Below are 21,521 nucleotides of genomic sequence, written 5' to 3'. Positions count from 1 at the left end.
GGCTGACCCCCCACCTCCCTCCCGGATGGGGTGGCTGCCAGGCGGAGACGCTCCTCACTTCCCAGACGGGGTGGCCGCCGGGCGGAGAGGCTCCTCACTTCTCAGACGGGGCAGCTGCTGGGCGGAGGGGCTCCTCACTTCTCAGACGGGGCAGTTGCCAGGCAGAGGGTCTCCTCACTTCTCAGACGGGGTGGCCGGGCAGAGACGCTCCTCACCTCCCAGACGGGGTCGCGGCCGGGCAGAGATGCTCCTCACATCCCAGACGGGGCTGCGGGGCAGAGGCGCTCCCCACATCTCAGATGATGGGCGGCCGGGCAGAGACGCTCTTCACTTCCTAGATGGGATGGCGGCTGGAAAGAGGCGCTCCTCACTTCCTAGATGGGATGGTGGCCGGACGGAGACACTCCTCACTTCCCAGACTGGGCAGCCAGGCAGAGGGGCTCCTCACATCCCAGACGATGGGCGGCCAGGCAGAGACGCTCCTCACTTCCCAGACGGGGTGGCGGCCGGGCAGAGGATGCAATCTCGGCACTTTGGGAGGCCAAGGCAGGCGGCTGGGAGGTGGAGGTTGTAGCGAGCTGAGATCACGCCACTGCACTCCAGCCGGGGCACCATTGAGCACTGAGTGAACGAGACTCCGTCTGCAATCCCGGCACCTCGGGAGGCCGAGGCTGGCGGATCACTCGCGGTTAGGAGCTGGAGACCGGCCAGGCCAACACAACGAAACCCCGTCTCCACCAAAAAAAATACGAAAACCAGTCAGGCGTGGCAGCGCGCCCCTGCAATCGCAGGCACTCGGCAGGCTGAGGCAGGAGAATCAGGCAGGGAGGTTGCAGTGAGCCGAGATGGCAGCAGTACAGTCCAGCTTTGGCTCGGCATAAGAGGGAGACTGTGGAAACAGAGGGAGAGGGAGACCGTGGGGAGACGGGAGAGGGAGAGGGAGAGGGAGAGGGAGAGGGAGAGGGAGAGCTGGATTTCAAAGCTTCATCCATGCTGAGCTGCAAGGGGAATGGACAGAACTGGAAACTGGGGCAGACTGGAGTTGCCAGCCTAGGCTGGGCTGTGAGCTCCACGGAGCAGATGCCAGGCCATCCTGCCCCGGCTCTAAGCCCAGCCCCAGGCCAGGGCCGGCACCTGGTAGGCTCTTCATGAGTGCTTCCTGAATGAATGACTATTTAATCTAGCCCATGCTTCTAGGTGAGTCAGCTGGTAATGACCCTGGAAAGGCAGAGCTTGCTTTTAGGTTCTCTAGATGGCTGGGCTGCTGCTTTTGCTCTGAATTTGGGTGGGGCAGCTAGCTGGGCTCTGCTATCTGGCAAGACCACTGGCTGACCTCTGCAATCAGGCTGAGCTACTGGATAGGCATTTCAATTGCCTCTGATCAAGCTGGGCCACAGGGTGTATTCTGTGGCCAGAAGGTACTACTATTTCAGTTCAGCAGTTGGACAGGGTTGCAGGAGGGTTCCTGAGATTAAGTATATCAGGATGAATGGACCAACTGCTATACTCAGTAGAAAGGTACTGTTGAGATTTGTCTCCCTCCCTGGGAGGGATCTGGGGTTGTGTTCTGTGGCAGCAAGGAATGCTGATTAAACTCCTGGGTATGGCAGAACTAGTCCTTACTTTTTTTGTTGAAATTCACTGTCAGGGGGTCTTCTCCCTTCCTGGGTGAGGGGGGATACTCTGGCCAAGTCTGAGGCTGGGCCTGGCAGCTAGCTATCTACGGATTCAAAGCAGGTAGCATTTCCCACCTCTTCTGGGAGTGACCAGTCCAGCTTTGTGGGGGTGGGGGGTGGGGTGGGGAATCTGGTATCTCTGATCTAGCACCACTGCTGGGAGGTACACTGAACTTTCGCCAAAATTTGTGCACTGGTCTCTGTGGGCTTTGCAACTCTTGCTTTGTTTCTACCTGACCCCACGTAGTCTAGCTGTGCAGTTTTTCCCTACCGTTACTGTGAGGTGAGAAGAGAGTGGGCTTTCAGGGAAGCATCTCTGAATCCTAGGGAAGCTGGATGTCCACCACCCAGGTTGTCTTTTCCCACTGTAGGCCCTGGGGAATCCTCTCTGTATGGCACTGTGGTGACTTGGGGAAGGGAGATACACCATTTCTCCTACCCTTTCAATGTGGATTTTTACTCACTTCTATGGAACATGCAGGTGACTTAGGCTTATTTCTATGTTTCAGGATTTTCACCAAGGTGTTCTTATCTGTGCATAGTTGCTAGTTGATCTCTCAGTGGAGGCGTAGGGAAGTGGGGTGGTGGGTGAATCCTGAGAACTGCTATTCTGCTGATGCCACCCTTAGACTTGAATTTTTCTGAGAAACATTAAATCAGTATTTTACATAAAAATATTCATGATTTCAAAATCTTTTTGACACTTTGAACACTGAGGTTAATGCTTAGATGTTCTTGTGAATGTCTTTGCATTAGAAAACAGACATATCTAGAATGTTTCAATAAAATGAGTGCTTAGCTTCCTTGTTACAAGGCATTTTAAATGCAGATAGATGTGATCATGAATACTAATACGTGATAAGAATTTTATTTATTTATTTTTTTGAGACAGGATCTTGCTATGTCACCAAGGTTGGAGTGCAGTGGCATGATCTTGGCTCACTGCAACCTCCGCCCCCTCCCCAGCACACCTCACTTAAGCAATCCTCCTACTTCAGCCTCCCGAGTAGCTGAGACCACAGGTGTGCACCACCACAGCCGGCTATTTTTTTTGCATTTTTAGTAGAGATGGGGTCTCACCATGTTGCCCAGGCTGGTCTTGGATACACGAGCTAAAGCAATCTGCCCACCAGCCTCCCAAAGTGCTGGGATTACGGGTGTGAGCAAGAATTTTAGAATCATTACTGGTTCCTCATATGATTATATTGAATGCAGAAAAAAATAAGAAGTAAAAGATGGAAATTTGCCTTGCTTTAGAGTAACATGGGTTTTGAAACATATTTTTGAAATTGTAACTAGAATGAGGGAGAGGAACCATGTGTTGCCCTGAGCGCTTTACCTATGTGACCTCCTTTCACTTTCCAAAAACCATGCAAATATTCTTATTCTTTTTCTTATTTTACAAATGAGGAATTAAAGGATTTGACAAGCTCCCTTTAAATCAGAGTTTTTTTTTGTTTTTTTTTTTTGTGTGGTTTTTTTTTTTTGAGATGGAGTCTCGCTCTATCACCCAGGCTAGAGTGCAGTGGCATGATCTTGGCTTACTGCAACCTGTGTCTCCCAGGTTCAAGCAATTCCCTGCCTCAGCATTCTGAGTAGCTGGGATTACAGGCACCCACCACCATGACTGGCTAATTTTTTTTTTTTCTATTTTTAGTAGAGAGGGAGTTTCACCATCTTGGCGAGGGTGGTCTTGAACTCCTGACCTTGTGATCCACCCACCTCAGCCTCCCAAAGTGCTGGGAAATCACATAGTTATTGAGCAGGAAAGCTGAGATTTAACCCCTGTCTTAGTTTGTTTGGGCTGCTATAACAAAATACCAAAATCTGGGTAGCTTTTAAATAACAGAAATGTGTTTTCCAGTTCTAGAATCTGGGAAATTAAAGATCAAGGTGCAGGCAGATTTGGGGTCTGGCGATAAACTGCTTCCTGTTTCATAGATGGCACCTTCTTGCTGTGTCCTCACATTGGGGAAGGGGCAAGGCAGCTCTCTGGGCCCTTTTTTATAAGGGCACTAATCCCATTCATGAGGGCTCTGCCCTAAAGCTTAATCACCTCCCAAAGGCCCCACCTCGTAATACCATTACATTGGTGATTATGGTTCAACACATGAATTTTAGGGTGACACAAACATTCGGAGCATAGCAAACCTGGTTTGAGTGACTTTTCAAACTACACTCTTACTACATTGCCTGAGAAATAGAATACACGACCACGTGCAAGAATTCTTCAGATGCAAATTTGTAATAAACACTCAAAATGTATAAGCCATTCCAGGTTCCATGATAAGCCACTTGAAGGCAGATGATGTGGTATAGCATATGCACAAGTACCATTTTTGTGGATCTTGAATTGATGTAGATGATGATTTTCCTTAGAATAGCCACCTCCAAATATCTCCCAACAATGCTCCAAGAAGGAATCAAGAATTTTACTTGTAATATAATCTGAAATTTATTCTAATTTTGAAAAGCTACCAACCCTGGCTAATTTACTATAGTTAAATGAATTAACTTGAATTACTCTTCTACCAGAAAAACATCTAAATGTCCAATGTGGAGTGTTATCTTTATATGGGGGGCTGGCTCACAGGCCAAATCTGGCCTGCTGCCTGTTTTTACATAGCCCATGCACTAATGATTTCTACATGTTTAAATGGCAGAAACAAATCAAAAGAAGAATAATATTTTATGGCATGTTGCTGTGGTCTGAATATTTGTGTTCTTCTAAAATTCATATGTTAAATCTTCATCCCCAGTGTGATAATATTAAGAGGTGGAGTCGTTAGGAGGTGATTAGATCATAAGGGCACAGACCTCATGAATAGAATTTAGCACCATTATAAACGAAGCTTGAGAAAGCTTGCTTGACCCTTTTGCCATGCAAGGACATAGAAGGTGCCATCTGTGAGAATGGGCCCCCACCACACACTCAGTCTGCCAGCACCTTTATCTTGGACTTTCTAGCCTTCAGAACTGTGAGCAATACATTCCTGTTGTTTGTAAATTACCTTGTCTAAGGTATTTTGTTACAGCAGCCTGACCAGACTAAAACACATGTGAATACTATATAAAATCCAAAATTTAGTGTGTATACATAAAGTTTTATTGGAACTCAGCCATACTCATTCATTTGCATGTTGTTTATAGCTGTTTTTTGCACAACAGCTGAGTTGAGTAGTTGTGGCAGAGACCATATGGCTCACAGAACTGAAATATTCACTATTGGGCACTTTACAGAAAAAGTTTGCTGACCTTGTTCTATACTATTTGGTAGCTGAGGATGAGACTTAAAGCTTATGACTTTGTTTCCTAAAAATCTTTAAAATACCTAACACAAATGCAATGTACACTTAAATACTAATATAAATGTATATTTTATTTATGCACACTCTATTTTCTTCTCCACTTTCAAGATAATGTGACTTTTATCTTCCAGAGTCAGCTGTGGTGATAAAGAGATATGTGAGAACCAAATTCATTCAGGGACCGAATTATTCTTTGGAAAGTGGTTTATGTGATGGGAATCATATTAACAGAGATAATAGATAATACCCAGCACTTTTCAGTTTAGAAATCACTTTCACATACCATGTTACATTTAATATTGATATTTTACTCGGTAAGATCATATTATAATTGCTTTCTTTTTTGTTTACGTATGAGTAACTTGAGGCTTTGTAGGATTGACTTGTCCAAGGCCACAAGATCAGTAAGGGTCAGAGACCAGACTCAAACACAGTATTTTTTTTTTTCTTTTCTCGGGATGGGAGAATTTATTGTTAAACGGAAATATGTTTTTACATTTATAAGTAGTAAGAATGTTTTGTTATCAGAAGAATCATGGGAATTTACTTAAAATAACAGTTTTTAGAATTCTAATTTTAAGTTCGTAATTTTTGGAATTGCTTTACTACTTACAGTGTTCTCCAAGGCAATGTTCTTTTCATGCCATAATTGCCAGTATTAATTTTATACCAGCTAAATGTTCAGCATTGAAATAGATTTAGCGAGTAGTAACATATGTGAGTATATACTAAAATTATTTTTACTTATATGAGGAAATATGTTAATTTAGTTATTACAAAATTCACATTTCAGTATTTTTTCTGAATAAAAACCAGTATTATAAATAAATGAAATATATTAAAAAGAAAAAAACCAAGGTCTCAAGGCATATGAGTGAATTAGTGAAGTCCTAACAAATGGTTTATACAGATTTATAGTTTATTCTAAATCCTACGAATTATTTTGTTATATTTATTTATTACATATTTAAAGATGTTAAGTTCAAACAACATAGTTTCAAGCAGCGTGTTAGGTACTGGTGATAGGGAGGTGACCCTGTGCCTTTATTAAGTCCATGGCCTATGGAGAGATTAGCACATAAACAAAAATTATGATATAACTGAGGTGGAATGTGCTCTCATGGAAATAGATATAAAAATCCTATGGGTATTTACTAATTATGGCTGGAAGATAAGAAATTTGTCAAGGGGTTGGTTGAAAATATGATGAAGAGATGGTTCTGTATAAATAGAGAATATAAAAGAAAGGAAGTTTGGGTGATAAAGAGTGAATGAGTGGTCAAAGTTGGGGTGAAGAGAAGTTATGGAGTTTGGTTTGGACACGCTGAACCACCAAGAGTCTAGTAGGGGCTACATAAGAAAACATATGTTGCAACATTTTGTGAAAAGGGCTACTATTAACAGCATGAGGTGCCAAAGGTGGGCAGAAAACAGGTATAGCAGAAAACAGGCTTTGATTTGATCAAGAGGCCAGAAGAATGTCCTGAAGGAAGGGATCTCTAAGCAGAGACTTATAAGCAAAAGTTTTCTGGATAAGGCAGGGTGGTCCAGGACCATCGTGTATGACTGTGTACACACTACACAAGTTCAAGAAATTCTGGCCACATAGACTAAGATGTGAATAGAGTACGCTAAAGTTCTTCAGTGCATAGGCTGTACAACTATGTCCAAGTCGTTCTGCGTGAAAGTGATGATTAGGTGTTCCAGGTAGAGAGGAATGAAAGAGGCAGAAGCTTCCAGGCAGAGTAAGCCAGAAGAGAAGATAAGGGCTCTGAATCAAGAGCATGACATGGTTAAAGAGGCATGAACTGGATCTCAGTTTCTGTTGTGTAGTCAAAGGGTAGGGTTGATGGGTATGGGAAAAATGGCCAGAAATAAAGCTTGAGTGGTAAGTATGGCCTGACATTTGCAATACCAAATAGTTGGAATTGGTTAAGGTATGAGCACTAGAGGTGGAGAGAAAATGAGTATGTTAAATGAATATATTGAAGATAGATTTAGGAAATTAACTTGAGATGCTTACAGGAGATACTAAACAGCGATGCCGAACTTTAAAAAATTAGCAAATACATTGCGCTTATTATGTTTCAGGTCCTGTTCTAGGTACTTTATATACATTAACTCAATCTGAACAACAATTCTATGAAGTAGGTACTATTATTACTCTCCCCCTTCCATTTTACAGATGAGAAAACTGAGGCACAGAGAGAGCTTAGGTGACTTCCCTAAGGCCCCACGGCCCAGGCATTCTATCTCCAGAGTCCATGGTTTTAACTACCACATTCCTCTGTCTTTTAATAGGAGGTGGAACTGATGGGATTAATAAGAAACCAGGCATGAGAAGCCATGCAGATGTAAATTTGGAAATCAACATATTGATAGTTGGAGTCACTGGAGTAGGTAAGGGCCCAGGAAAATTGTGAGGTGAGAAGAAGCCAAAGATAAGTTCCTGGGGGATGCCACCATTCCAAGGGCAAGCAGATCAGGAGGAGCCAGCTTAAAAGGCTAAGAAGATGCTACTGGAGAGAAGGAGAACACTCAGAGAGAGTGGGCTTCACAAGCCGAGGGAGGAGTTTCACAAACAAGGACAGTGGACAGTGTCAAGGCTAGCAGAAGGTCTGCCGAAGAAGCCACAAGCCTTTACTGGCTTTAGTAATTAAAGGGTCATGAGTGAGCTCGGTAGAAGCAATTTAATTTAATTTAATTTAATTTTTTTTGAGATGAAGTCTCACTCTGTTGCCCAGGCTGGAGTGCAGTGGCACGATCTTGGCTCACTGTAACCTCTGCCTCCCAAGTTCAAGTGATTCTCCTGCCTCAGCCTCCCACGTAGGTGGGATTACAGGCACGTGCCACCACGTCCGGCTAATTTTTGTATTTTTAGTAGAGATGGGGTTTCACCAAGAAGCAATTTTGAAGAATGATGGTGCCAATGTCAGCATGATGGTGGTCTAGGACCTTTCTACTGTTGTCCCTCCACAGAAACATCTATTTTGACAGCTACCCACAGAGGGGAGTACCACTGGGGGAATCTGGGAGTCCAGTAGAGAAGTTCCAGCACATGACTGGAGCAAAAAATCTGAGAATAGATAGATGATTGAAGAGGATAAGAAGAACAGCTTCACTTTATCCACATCACTCCTTCCCCTTGGCCCTCGATTTCTCCAGTGGGAGAAAGTGAGAGTGCAGTGAGTGACCCCTGGCTCCCCCAGCTATGTGGGACCTTGCCCCCAAGAGACCTGCTTCCTTCTCACCCCACCCAGAATACTGGGGTGATTGGCATGGCTGAGTGGTTGGGAGAGGTTGGGAGGAGGAAGAGAGGCTGCAAACCTTGCTAACTGCCCTACAAACTCCCTCAGGAAGCCTGACTACAGCCACCCAGGAGGCCTTGCCTGTGTACCCCACCTCCAGCTGGCCCACAAGTCCCCCAAACACTCTGCATGCTTCTTCCCCCTACTCCAGTCCGGTTCTCTGAGCATACCCTCATGGAAAGCAAGTACATGTGTCCTGGCTGACAACTGGCTTGACCCTGCAGGACTGGAAGAAGGCACACAAACTCGAGCATTTCAGGGTATTGTCCTAGGGAAGAAAAATGGGAGGCTCTCAGGACCTGGCCTGGCTTTGTGGGTTTGAGGGAAGGCATATGATCTTTAAAATGCCCCTTGCTCCTCCTAAGAGGGAACAAGAGATGTGGAGTGGGGACATCCATACAGAAACAACCCATGTGTCTGTTGACCAAAGAATGGACAAAATGTTATATATACATTGTGTGTGTGTGTGTGTGTGTGTGTGTGTGTTTGTGTGTATGAATATTACTTAGTCTTAAAAAAGATGAAAATCTTGCCATTTGTGACAACATAGACGAACCTGAAGGATGTTCTGCTTAAGGTTGAAATAAACCAGGCATAGAAAGACAAATACTGCAAGATCTCACGTATACGTGGAATCTAAAGAAGTTGAGCTTGTAGAAACAGAGAGTAGAAGGGTAGTTACCTGTGTTCAGGGGGTGGGGAGAATAAGGAGATGTTGGTCAAGTGGTACAAACATGCAGTTATAAGATGAATGAGTTCTGGAGAACTATGGTATGGCAAGGTGACTATAGTTAATAATAATGTATTTTATACTTGAAATTTGCCAGACATCTAACACTTAGATTTTAATATACTCACCACACACACATATAAAAGGTAACTATGTGGGGTGATGGATATGTTAATTAGGTTGATTGTAGTAATCATCATTTCACAATGTATATGTACATCAAAACATCATGTTGTACACTCTAAGGTGCATACAAATATATGCGTTTTTAATTTGTCAATTATACCTCCATGTGGCTGGGGAAAAAAGAACGATGGGGGCAGAGGCTAGCACATACCAGGCTGAAAAATGAACAGAAATTAGAATCATGGAGACAGCTAAGATAGATGCTGGTGAAAGTGGAAAAGAGGGCATTAGTTAGAGGAAGAAGTTCAGTGCAGGGGGTGGAGAAACCTGTCTGTCTGTCTGTCTGTCTATCTATCTATCTATCTATCTATCTATCTATCTATCTATCTATCTATCTATCTGTCTATCCTATCTATCTATCTGTCTATCTATCTGTCATCTCTGGACCCTAAGGCAGCATGCCTCCAGAGACTCTGCATAAGTAGGTGGGTTACTTTTGACATCTGCCATATACTACTTCTCCAAAAGAATCAGAGTCCCTCTTCTGGAAGCACTGGATAGGAATGAAGGATCTTTCTGCTTTCACTGCTTTCAGCCCGCCCACCTCAGGCATGCTTGAGCACGAGGGTGGTGTCTAGAAAACCTCAGGAGTTGCTCAGTGTGTTCCTTCTTCCTTTCACTCCTGAAGATCCACCTAGAAGAGCAGCTCCTGTCTCAGTTCCTTCTGCAGGTGTCTCCTTTACCATTGAGTTCGATACAGACAGTTGATTCTGGAACCAACCTGGAAACCATGTAGGATACAGTGTTTCTGGGCCCTTGGCACTATCTGCCCTACACATGGTCCGCATGGTACTGCTGGTGAGGCTCACAGCCCTCCTCACACAGAAAGTGATGAGTCATTTTGAGTACATTTTTAGGGATGTTTAGAGACTGATGGGAAAAACCCAGTAGGAGGGAAATGTTTTGTCTTCATGATTATTGGGTTCATTTCCAGGGCTTCCTCAAATCCTTATATTTTTTCTCTTGCTCAAAAAATTTGTATAGCTGACTCACGATCTTTCAGACAATGGAAAAATAAAGCATGATTAGAAGAGTTATGACTTTTCTTAAACTCTATCCTTCTTATCTCTGTCTGCCTGCCTATCTTTCTCACATTAAATTATTGGGAACTATAAACTTATTTTTCCCACAAACAGTAGCTGATTTTCTGTTTTTAGACAAATGTTTATGTTCCACAGATTTTAACTGTTGACATGAGAAGAAAAGAGATTTATAAAATTAGAGCCTGTGATTTTGTCTAGGAAGTTTATATTTAAGTTTAAAGTTATCTCAGAAGTCTTTTATAGTGACAATCAAAAAGAGTTCCTTTCATGGCTGTGAAAGTGTTCAATTATATAGTATCAGTACATACTGATGTACTGTAGTATCAGTATCATAGATATTTGTAAAACATATCAAGTATGTAGTATCAGTATCATAGATATTTGTAAAACATATCAAGTATGTAGTATCAGTATCATAGATATTTGTAAAACATATCAAGTATGTAGTATCAGTATCATAGATATTTGTAAAACATATCAAGTATGTAGTATCAGTATCATAGATATTTGTAAAACATATCAAGTATGTAGTATCAGTATCATAGATATTTGTAAAACATATCAAGTATGTAGTACCAGTATCATAGATATTTGTAAAACATATCAAGTATGTAGTATCAGTATCATAGATATTTGTAAAACATATCAAGTATGTAGTATCAGTATCATAGATACTTGTAAAACATATCTATGAAGGGGAATTTAATTAGGAAAACTGTCTAAAGTAAGGAACTGTTTACCCTTTCATTTATTTATTTATGTATTAATTCTGTCTTGCATCTCTTTATTGCCAGGGCTTAGTACAGTGCTTGTATATAGTATCTCTTAATAAATATTATTATTGTTTTAGGTATTAGCTCTATTGATATTCTGTTCAAATTCATTCATTTCTGCCTTTGTCTTTCTTAATTCCTTTATTTACCTTATTTTTGACTTATTTTGTTATTCTTTTAAAAAATTTTGAGATGCATGTCTTAATTATTTTTATGTTTTAATGATATAAGTATTTTAAGAATTTTCTTCTGAGTATTGCTTTTGTTTTATTCTATAGGGTCTGATACTGTTTTCATTAATAGTGTTTTCTAGCAAATTTATAGGCTTTCTTTACATTTTCCATTTGACTTAAAAGATCAGGAGTTTTCATTTTTTGAATTTGTAATTAATTTCCAGTTTTAATTCATTATTATCAGAATAAGTTATCTGTATTACTTCTTTTTTTCTTTCTTTTTTTTTTTTTGAACTGGAGTCTTGCTCTTGTCACCCAGGCTGGAGTGCAATGGCACGATCTCGGCTCACTGCAACCTCCGCCTCCCAGGTTCAAGTGATTCTCCTGCCTCAGCCTCCTGAGTAGCTAGGATTACAGGCACCCACCATCTGGCTAATTTTTTATATTTTTAGTAGAGATGGGGTTTTGCCATGCTGGCCAGGCTGATCTTGAACTCCTGACCTCGTGATCCACCCGCTTCAGCCTCCCAAAGTGCTGAGATTACAGGCTTGAGCCACTGTGCCCGGCCTCTTTTAAGGAATTTATTAAGGTTTTCTTTGTGAACTAATATGTATTCAATTTTCATGAGTGTTCCATGTACACTTGAAGGTAAGTTGTATTCTCTATTTTCAGATAAAATCTTGGTATATGTCACTCAGCTCTGCATTGTAGATTATGTTCTTTAGGTAGTTTATGTCATTATTTTTAGTTCAAATTGATCTATCTTAGACCAAGAGAGGTAAGTCTATATCTCCTGTTATTAGTATCTCAACATATCCTTTTTCTGTAAGTTCTGGTTCATGAAAATTGCTACTCTGTTTTTTTTTTGTGTATAAATATTGAGAAAAAGGAGCAGCCCCCAATAGGTGTCAATTGGTACCTGGCATGACTCTTACAGCTAGCCCATGATGTTCTGCTGTTGAACTTACACAATTTTACAATATCAACATGAGACAGAGGTGCCCTGTGACAACAATGGAGTTGGACAAAACAAGACCACTCCATAATCATGTGTGAACAAAGACAAAAATAAGAACACTGTGCAAATCAGAAAAATGACCACGCATCCCCCTCTCCCAGCTAACATGAACAACTGTTGCTTTGTTACCAATGATAGCTTCAGCTGTTCTTGGTCTTCCTGATTTGTAGATAAATATCACTAAGATACCTGGTTATAGAATTGTTGCCACTTTCTGACATCACCTGATTAACAGCAAAACCACAGGTCCTTGAACCCTATAACAGACCCCAATCCTATAACAAGCCCTGCCTAACTTACTGAGACATTCTGTAGTTCCCTATGAAGTATGATCTCTCTTCTTACAAAAGTATCAATAAACTCTAAATATGGGCATCAAACATTTATAGCTGTTTTGTTTTCATTGTGAATCGTACCCTTAGCAATATAGTGCCATTTTTTGGTCTCTTGATGGTTGGCCTGAATTCTACCTTGTTTAATATTATGATCACAACTCCTATTATTTTACTTTGTGTTTTTCTTTTTTTAAAAATGTATTTAAGCTTTTAAAATTACGTAGTTTAGACATGTGTTTTGTATAAAGTATAGCATTGAATTCTGTTTTGTGACTTATCAGAAGATCTTTTCCTTTTAATAGATTACTTAAGCTTATATACATACATTGATAGAAATGTATGTTTGGTCTTAGTTCTGTCATTTTGTGTTATGTTTTCTGTGTTTCTATATACAAGTTTAAAAAATGTATACTATACAAAACTTTTTTTTTCTGACTTTTTCAATTGCAGTCATTTCCCTTTGATATTTAGGAAGTTTTAATTTTTAATCCAAAGATTACCTTTACCTTATACTCTCATTCCCCTCTTATTTAAAACAATAATTATTCTCACATGAGCAATGATAATATTACTTTCTGTTCTTTTCCCCAGCTCCTCAATTCACCGTCTAATTTTAATTGATCCAATTTATCTTTGGTTTGCTAGTTTGTACTCAAGAGGTTTCTTAATGAAACTTTCATGTGAACAGTATTTCCCAAACTCTTGAATTTTCAAAACTATAGTCAATCTCCATTGTTCGTGGATTCCAACATAAATGTTAGAATTTTCTGACTTGCTAAAATTCATTTGTTTTCCGTAAATCTGTACTTTTGGGATCACCTTAAGGATGTGCGCAGAGTGGTAAAAAATTTGAGTTTCCCAACCTGCTTAATGTGTACATTCTCAGCTGAGACCTGTCTTCTTTTTTCAGCTCTCATACTGTGGACAACTGTCCTCTGAATGGCCAATTTGTTGCTATGTTTTTTGCATTTTTGTGCTTTTGTTGGTGATTTCACTTTTAAGATGGCCCTCAAGATAGTGCTGAAGTGCTGTTGAGTATTCCTAGTGGCAAGAAGGCTATAATGTGCCTTCTGGAGAAAATAGATGTTTTAGATAAGCTTTGTTTAGGCATAAATTATAGTGCTGTTGATTGAGTTAAATGATAATGCATCAACAATATATATTAAATAAGGCATCTTTAAACAGAAGCCCACATAAAACAAGGCTATATTGATGAAAATGTTATGACCATTGGCTTGCAGGAACCTAACCCTAGATTTCCCCTAGGATCAATTATTCAGTATATGCTAATTCAGTATCTGCAAAGACTTTGTAGAATATAACTATCACAAATAATAACTGACTGTAGTTGTCTGTAGCCTTTAAACTTTAAGAGGAGTTGAGCTGGATATAAAATCCTTGTCTTATACCCTTTTCTCATGAGTATCTTGTAGGTGTTGCTGTCATGTTTTCTGTGGCCTTTGTTGAGTGTTGTTGTCAATAAACCTCAACTAACCTGATTTCTTTCTCCTATTAGTGACTTGTTATTTTTACCTGGTTGCCCAAAGAATTCTTTTTCTTATTTTGAAGTTCGAATAATTTTACTAGGATAGTCTCAGGGTTGGCCATTCTGGGTTGGTTTTCCCTGATATTCAATAAATCTATATTTTTTCTATATGCAGATTCAACTCAGTCTGCTTGCTTCATTCCCTCCTCTCTTCCCTCCATGCTCCTCTTTCTTTCCTTAGTTTCTTCTTTTCTGTCTTTATTTAATTTCAGGAAAGGTTTTTTTGTTGAAATAGCTTGAGTGCTTATTAAGTTCCATGAGTTGGTTTTTATCATCAGCAACTATTTATACTTGTGTATACAACCATATATGTGTGTGTGTGTACGTGTGTGTATGTATGTATATATATATATAAGGTTAAGAAAAAGTATAAGAATACATATACATATATAGAAGGAATATACATATATTCCTTTCAGTCCTTTTTTTCCTGTATAATTTTTAAATTATATATATGTATGGGCCTTTTCCTTCCTATTTCTATTTTATTTTGCATTTTGTTGGATTTTATTTCTGTTTTCTGTATCCTTACTGTGGTTTTCTATGGTATCTATTATTCTTAGTATTTCCTATAGTTTAGTCGTCATTTTGGACCTGGCTTTGTATTTTTCTTCTGTTTCTTTCATACGTTCCGTCAGTTCTTGTTTCATGCCCTCCTGTTATCTACTGTCATGTCTTCTTGTGTAGCCATCTCTTCTCTATGTTTTGATATTTATCCTTATAGTTTCAATTGATGCATAAAGGTTTAAAATTCTCAGTTGGAATATTAGGTTGCACTTTTTATCTGCCTTCTGTCAATGATTTTTCTGGTGTTTTCATTGTCTTTAAGAAGGCTATATTGTTCTTTTTCATTTTTAAAATTTTCTCTGTAGTATCTTTATGAGAATGTAGGGCACATTTCTTTTTTGTTACTCATATTTTAGTGATGTTTAACAAGAGATTACTATGGAGGGGTGAGGCCAGGATAGATTTGTAGGCTTCTTAGCTCAAGGGCTTCCTCTTCTGATGTTGTGGCAAAAGACTTGACATTTGGCCCTCCTGTGTGATCTCATTTTTATGTATTTCTCTTACTGGCCTTGGGTTCATTAAGACCATAACCAACAAGAGATAGAATCCTAACCTTCCAAAGCTACCCCAGCTTTTAAAAAATGTACTATATTTGCTGGCTGTTTCTGAGGTCATTTCCCATTAGGCCTTCTCTGTTCTCCCTGTTCCTCACTTCCCATTCCACTGCATCTTTGGTACCAATTATTTGCAATGTGAAGTTTTATGATTTCTTTCTCTTACTTTGTAGGTTTATTTTTTACTTTCTTTGCTGCTCTTTGTGATGAGAAGATTCAGAAATAAAATGCTGCTGTGTTTCTAGTTGAATCAGAACTCTTCAGAGTTGTTTATTCATCAAAATTAGAATCAATATAAATGTAGTACTTTTTAGTCACCAAACATGATTTCCGTTTCCCAGGTCTGCAAATTTATTCCAAGGTCACAAATGAGGTGGGGAATAACAATGTTAACATGTACAGGGAGTTAATGTGTACATGATTTTTGTTTGTTTGTTTGTTCTTTTCCTTTTATTGTGATCAAATTTAAGTTTATATCAGTTTTAAATAACTTGTTGTAACTACAGGATTTTTTTTGGTAAGCCTCAAGGTAAGTGCAAAGCAAAAACCTATGATAGATATAACAAGAATAAAAAGCAATGGATTCAAACATACTATGGGAGAAAAATCATGTAACCACAAAGGAAGACAGTAAGAAAAGAAGAAAGGAGTTACAAAACACATAGAAAACAAGTAACAAAATAGCAGTAATAAGTCCATACCTATCAATAATATTGAGTGTAAATAGATCACACCCTATAACTAAAAGATGTAGAATGGCTGAACAGATTAAAAAGCAAGACCCAACTATATTCTGCCTACAAGAAACAGATTTCACATGTAAGGACACACACAGACAGAAAATGAAGGGATGGAAAAAGATACTCCGTGCAAATGAAAATAAAAAAGAGCAGATAATTGCTATACTTATATCAGATAAAGTAGACTTTAAATCAAAAACTGTAAAAAGAGACATAGAGTTCATTATATAACAACAAATGGGTCAATTCAGCAAGAGAACATAACAATGGTGAATATATATACACACAACACCAGAACATCCAACTATATAAAGCAAATATTAATAGATCTAAAGGGAGGGATAGACTGCAAAACAATAATAGTAGGAGACTTCAACACTTCACTTTTGGCAATAGACAGATAATCCAGGCAGAAAATCAACAAATATTGGAGTTAAACTATACTCTAGTTCAAATGAACCTAATAGACATCTAAAAAGCATTTCATCCAACTGCTGCAGAATACACATTCTTCATATTAGAAAATGAAACATTCCACAGGCTAAACCATATCTTAGACCACAAAACAAGTTTCAACAAATTACAAAAGTAGAAATCATACTCAGTATCTTTTCTGATCACAGTGGAATAAAACTAGAAATCAATAACAAGAGGAACTTTGGAAACTGTACAGATACACAGAAATTAAACATGTTCCCAAATGACTAATGGGCCAACGAAGAAATTAAGAAGAAAATTAAAAAACTATCCTGAGACAAATGAAAATGGAAACACAACATATGAGAATCATGTGGAATACAACAAAAGCAGTACTAAGAGGGAAATTTATAGACATAAATTCCTCCATCAAAAAATAGAAAGACTTCAACCTTATGATGCACCTTAGGGAACTAGAAAAACAGAAATCAAACCCAAAATTAGTAGAAGGAAAAGAAATAAGATCAGAGCAGAAATAAATAGACAGTAAAAACAACATAAAAGATAAACAATGAAAAGTTGGTTTTTGAAAAAGATAATTGACAAACCTTTAGCTAGACTAAGAAAAAAGAGAAGATTCAAACAAATAAAATGAGAGATGAAAAAGGGAACATTACAATGGACACTGCAGAAGTAAAAAGGATCAGTAGAGACTCCTATGTACAACTGTACACCAATAAATTGGAAAACACAGAAGAAATGGATATGTTCCTTAGCACATACAACCTACTAAGATTGAGCCATGAAGAAATAGAAAACCCGAACAGACCAGTAAGGAGTAGTGATATCAAAGCAGTGATAAAAAAAGTCACTTATCAAAGAAAAACCCAGGATCTGATGTCTTCACTGTTGAATTCTACCGCTTACTAAAAGAACTGATATCAGTTCTACTCAAACTATTTCAAAAAATGGAAGAGGAGGGAAAACTTCTAAACTCGGCTTAGGAGGACACCCTTATACCAAAACTAGATAGGGAAACACACACACACACAAACAAACAAAAACCAAAAACAAACAAAAAAAGAAAACAACAGGCCAATATCCCTGACAAACATAGATACAAAAATCTTCAACAAAATACTAGCAGATCGGCTTCAGCAAACATTAAAATGTCAAGAAACAACAGATGCTGGCAAGTTTGCAGAGAAAAAGGAACACTTTTACACTGTTGGTGGAAAAGTAAATTAGTTCAACCATTGTGGAAGACAGTGTGGTGATTCCTCAAAGATCTAGAAACAGAAATATCATTTGACCCAGCAATACCATTACTGGGTATATACCCAAAGGAATATAAATCATTCTATTATGAAGATACATGCACATATATGTTCATTGTAACATTATTCACAATAGCAGAGACATGGAATCAACCCAAATGCCCATCAACAATACACTGGATAAAGTAAATGTACATATACACCATGGAATACTATGCAGCCATAAAAAGGAATGAGATCATGTCCTTTGCAGGAACATGTGTGGGAAGCCATTATCCTCAGCTAACTAACACAGGAACAGAAAACCAAATGCCATATGTTCTCACTTCTGTGGGAGCTGAATGATGAGAACACATGGACACAGTGGAAAGAACAATGCACACTGAGTCCTGTCAGGGTTGGGGAGGGAGAGCATCAGGAAGAGTAGCTAATGCATGCTGGGCTTAATACCTAGGTGATGGGTTGATATGTGTAGCAAACCACTGTGGCATACATTTACCTATGTAACAAAACTGCACATCCTTCACATGTACCTTGGAAATTAAAATAAAAGTTGAAGGAAAAAAAGATCATTCACCATAATCAGGTGGGATTCATCCCAGAGATGCAAGGATGGCTTAACATATGCAAATTAATAAATGTGATTCACCACATCAACATAATCAAGGACAAAAAACATATGATCATTTCAATAGATGCTTTAAAAGCATTTGATACAATTCAACATTTTTTTATGACAAAAACTCTCAACAAATTGGATAGAGAAGGAATATACCTCAGCACAATAAAGGCCATATATGACAGACCTACAGCTAACATCATACTGAATGGGGAAAAATGAAAAGCCTTTCCGCTAAGACCTGGAACAAGATAAGGATGCCCACTGGAAGTGCTAGCCAGCACAATTACGCAAGAGAAAGAAACAATGGGTTTCCAAATCAGGAAAGAGGAAGTCAAATAATCCTTGTTTGGACACAAAATGATCTTATATTTAGAAAAACCTAAAGAATCCATAAAAAAATCCTTAGAATGAATAAATAAATCCAGTAAATTTGTAGGATACAAAAATCAGTAGCATTTCAATATGCTAACAGTGATCAATTTGCAAAATAAATCAAGAAAACAATCTCATTTACAACAGCTGTAAAAATACTTAGAAATAAATTTAACCAAAGAAGTGAAAAATATCTGCAAGAAAAACTATGAGACACTAATAAAAGAAATTGAAGAGGACACATACAAAATAATGGAAAGATATTTCATGGTCATTGATTGGAAGAATTAATATTGTTGAAGTGTCTGAACTACCCACAGGGATCTACAAATTCTGTGCAATCACCACAGAAACACCAATGACATTCTTCACAGAAATAGAAAAACCAATCCTAAAATTTGTATGTAAACACAAAAGACCTCTAATAGCTAAAGCAATTTTGAACACAAAGAACAAAGCGGAGGCATCACGTTATCCTATTTCAAATTATATTATACTACAAAGCTATAGTAACAAAAATAGCATAGTACTGGCATAAAAACAGATACACAGGCCAATGGAACAGAATAGAGGACCCAGAAATAAATCCACACACTTCCAGCCAGCTCCTTTTCAATAAAGTTTCCAAGAACATACATTGAGGAAAGGTCAGTCTCTTTAATAAGCGGTGCTGGGAAAACTGGATATCTATATGCAAAAGAGTGAAACTAGATCCTTCTCTCACTATATAAAAAAACAACTCCCAATAGATTGAAGACTAAAATGTAAGACTTGAAACTATAAAACTACTAAAAGAAAACAATGGTAAAACACTACAGGACATTGGTCTGGGCAAAAATTTTTTTGTATAAGACCTCAAAAGCACAGGGAAAAAAAGTAAAAATAGACAAATGGGATTACATCAAGCTAAAAAGTTACTGCACAGCAAAAGAACCAATAAAGCAAAGAGACAACCCACAGAATGGGAGAAAATATTTGCAAACTCTCCATCCCATGGAAGATTAATAATCAGAAAATATAAGGAACTCAAACAACCCAACACCAAAAAACCAAATGTTTTGATTTTTAAAATGGGCTATAGACCCAAATAGACATTTCTCAAAAGAAGGCATACAAATGGCCAAAAGATATATAAAAAAACTGTTCAACACCACTAATCATCAGGGAAATCCCAATCAGAACCATACTGAGATATAATCTTACCCCAGGTAGAATGGCTATTATCAAATTACAAAAAATAAAAAATGCTTGTGAGGATGTGGAAAAAAGGAAACTCATACGCTATTGGTGGGAATGTAAATTAGTACAGCCATTATGGAGAACAATATGGAGGTTTCTCAAAAAACTGAAAATAGAACTGCCATATGAACCAGCAATCCCACTACTGGACATGTATACAAAGGAAAGAAAATCTGTATTTTGAGGAACTATCTGCACTCCCATGTTTATTGCTACACTATTTACAATAGCCAAGATGTGGAATAAGCCTAAAAGTCCATCAAGCGATGAATGAATAATGAAAATGTGGTATGTATACAGAATGGAATACTATTCAGCCATAAAAAAGAATGAAATCTGTCATTCACAGCAACATAGATCAGCTTGGAGGACATTATGTTAAGTGAAGTAAGCCAGACATAAAATGACAAATAGCACATGTTCTCACTCATGTGGTAGCTAAAAACATTGATCTCATAGAAGCAGAGAGTAGAATAGTGGTTACTAGATGCTGGGAAGGACATGAGGATTGAGGGATAGAAAGACCTTGGTTAATGGATACAAAATTCTAATTAGGAGGAATACATTCTAATGTTTTATAGCACTACAGGGTGACTATAGTTAATAATGATTTATTGTATATTTTCCAATTGCTAGAAGAAAAGAATTTGAATGTTCCCAACACAAAGAAATGATAAACGTTTGAGGTGTACTAATTACTCTAATTTGATCAGTATGCATTGTATATGTATATCAAAATATCACGGTCCATTAGAGGATGGCCAAATAGGAACAGCTCCAGTCTACAGCTCCCAGCATGAGTGACACAGAAGATGGGTGATTTCTGCATTTCCAAGTGAGGTACTGGGTTCATCTCACTGGGGCTCGTCAGACAGTGGAGGCAGGACAGTGGGTGCAGCCCACCAAGTGTGAGCCGAAGCAGGGCAAAGCATCGCTTCACCCAGGAAGTGCAAAGGGTCAGGGAATTCCCTTTCCTAGCCAAGAGAAGGGGTGACAGATGGCACCTGGAAAATCGTGTCACTCCCATCCTAATACTGCACTTTTCCAAAAGTCTTAGCAAATGGCACACCAGGAGATTATATCCCATGCCTGGCTTGGAGGGTCCCACGCCCACGGAGCCTCGTTTATTGCTAGCACAGCACTCTGAGATCGAACTGCAAGGCAGCAGCGAGGCTGGGGGAGGGGCGCCCGCCATTGCTGAGGCTTGAGTAGGTAAACAAAGTGGCCCAGAATCTCGACCTGGGTGGAGCCCACCGCAGCTCAAGGAAGCCTGCCTGCCTCTGTAGACTCCACCTCTGGGGGCAGGGCATAGCCAAACAAAGGGCAGCAGAAACCTCTGCAGACTTAAATGTCCCTGTCTGACAGCTTTGAAGAGAGTAGTGGTTCTCCCAGCATGGAGTTTGTGATCTGAGAATGGACAGACTGCCTCCTCAAGTGGGTCCCTGACCCCCGAGTAGCCTAACTGGGAGGCACCTCCCAGTAGGGGCAGACTGACACCTCACACGGCCGGGTACCCCTCTGAGATGAAGCTTCCAGAGGAATGATCAGGCAGCAACATTTGCTGTTCAGCAATATCTGCTATTCTGCAGCCTCCGCTGCTGATACCCAGGCAAACATGGTCTGGAGTGGACCTCCAG

At 39.2% G+C, this 21,521-nt stretch overlaps 1 long non-coding RNA gene across 1 annotated transcript in view; it reads left to right on the top strand.

The window, feature by feature from the left end:
* The window catches only part of LOC105370531 (LINE-1 retrotransposable element ORF1 protein-like), a 58,110-nt gene that overhangs the window by 11,952 nt on the left and 24,637 nt on the right, over positions 1–21,521 (top strand). Inside the window, exon 2 of the long non-coding RNA XR_943934.4 lies at positions 7,286–7,384. This is a non-coding gene — a long non-coding RNA (LINE-1 retrotransposable element ORF1 protein-like). The remainder of the gene's footprint in view (positions 1–7,285; positions 7,385–21,521) is intronic.

The sequence above is a fragment of the Homo sapiens genome, chromosome 14, assembly GCF_000001405.40.
Source record: "Homo sapiens chromosome 14, GRCh38.p14 Primary Assembly".
NCBI classification, from domain to species: domain Eukaryota; kingdom Metazoa; phylum Chordata; class Mammalia; order Primates; family Hominidae; genus Homo; species Homo sapiens.
The sequence above is the reverse complement of the archived record's forward strand: the minus strand, read 5'-3'. Positions and strand labels throughout refer to the sequence as shown.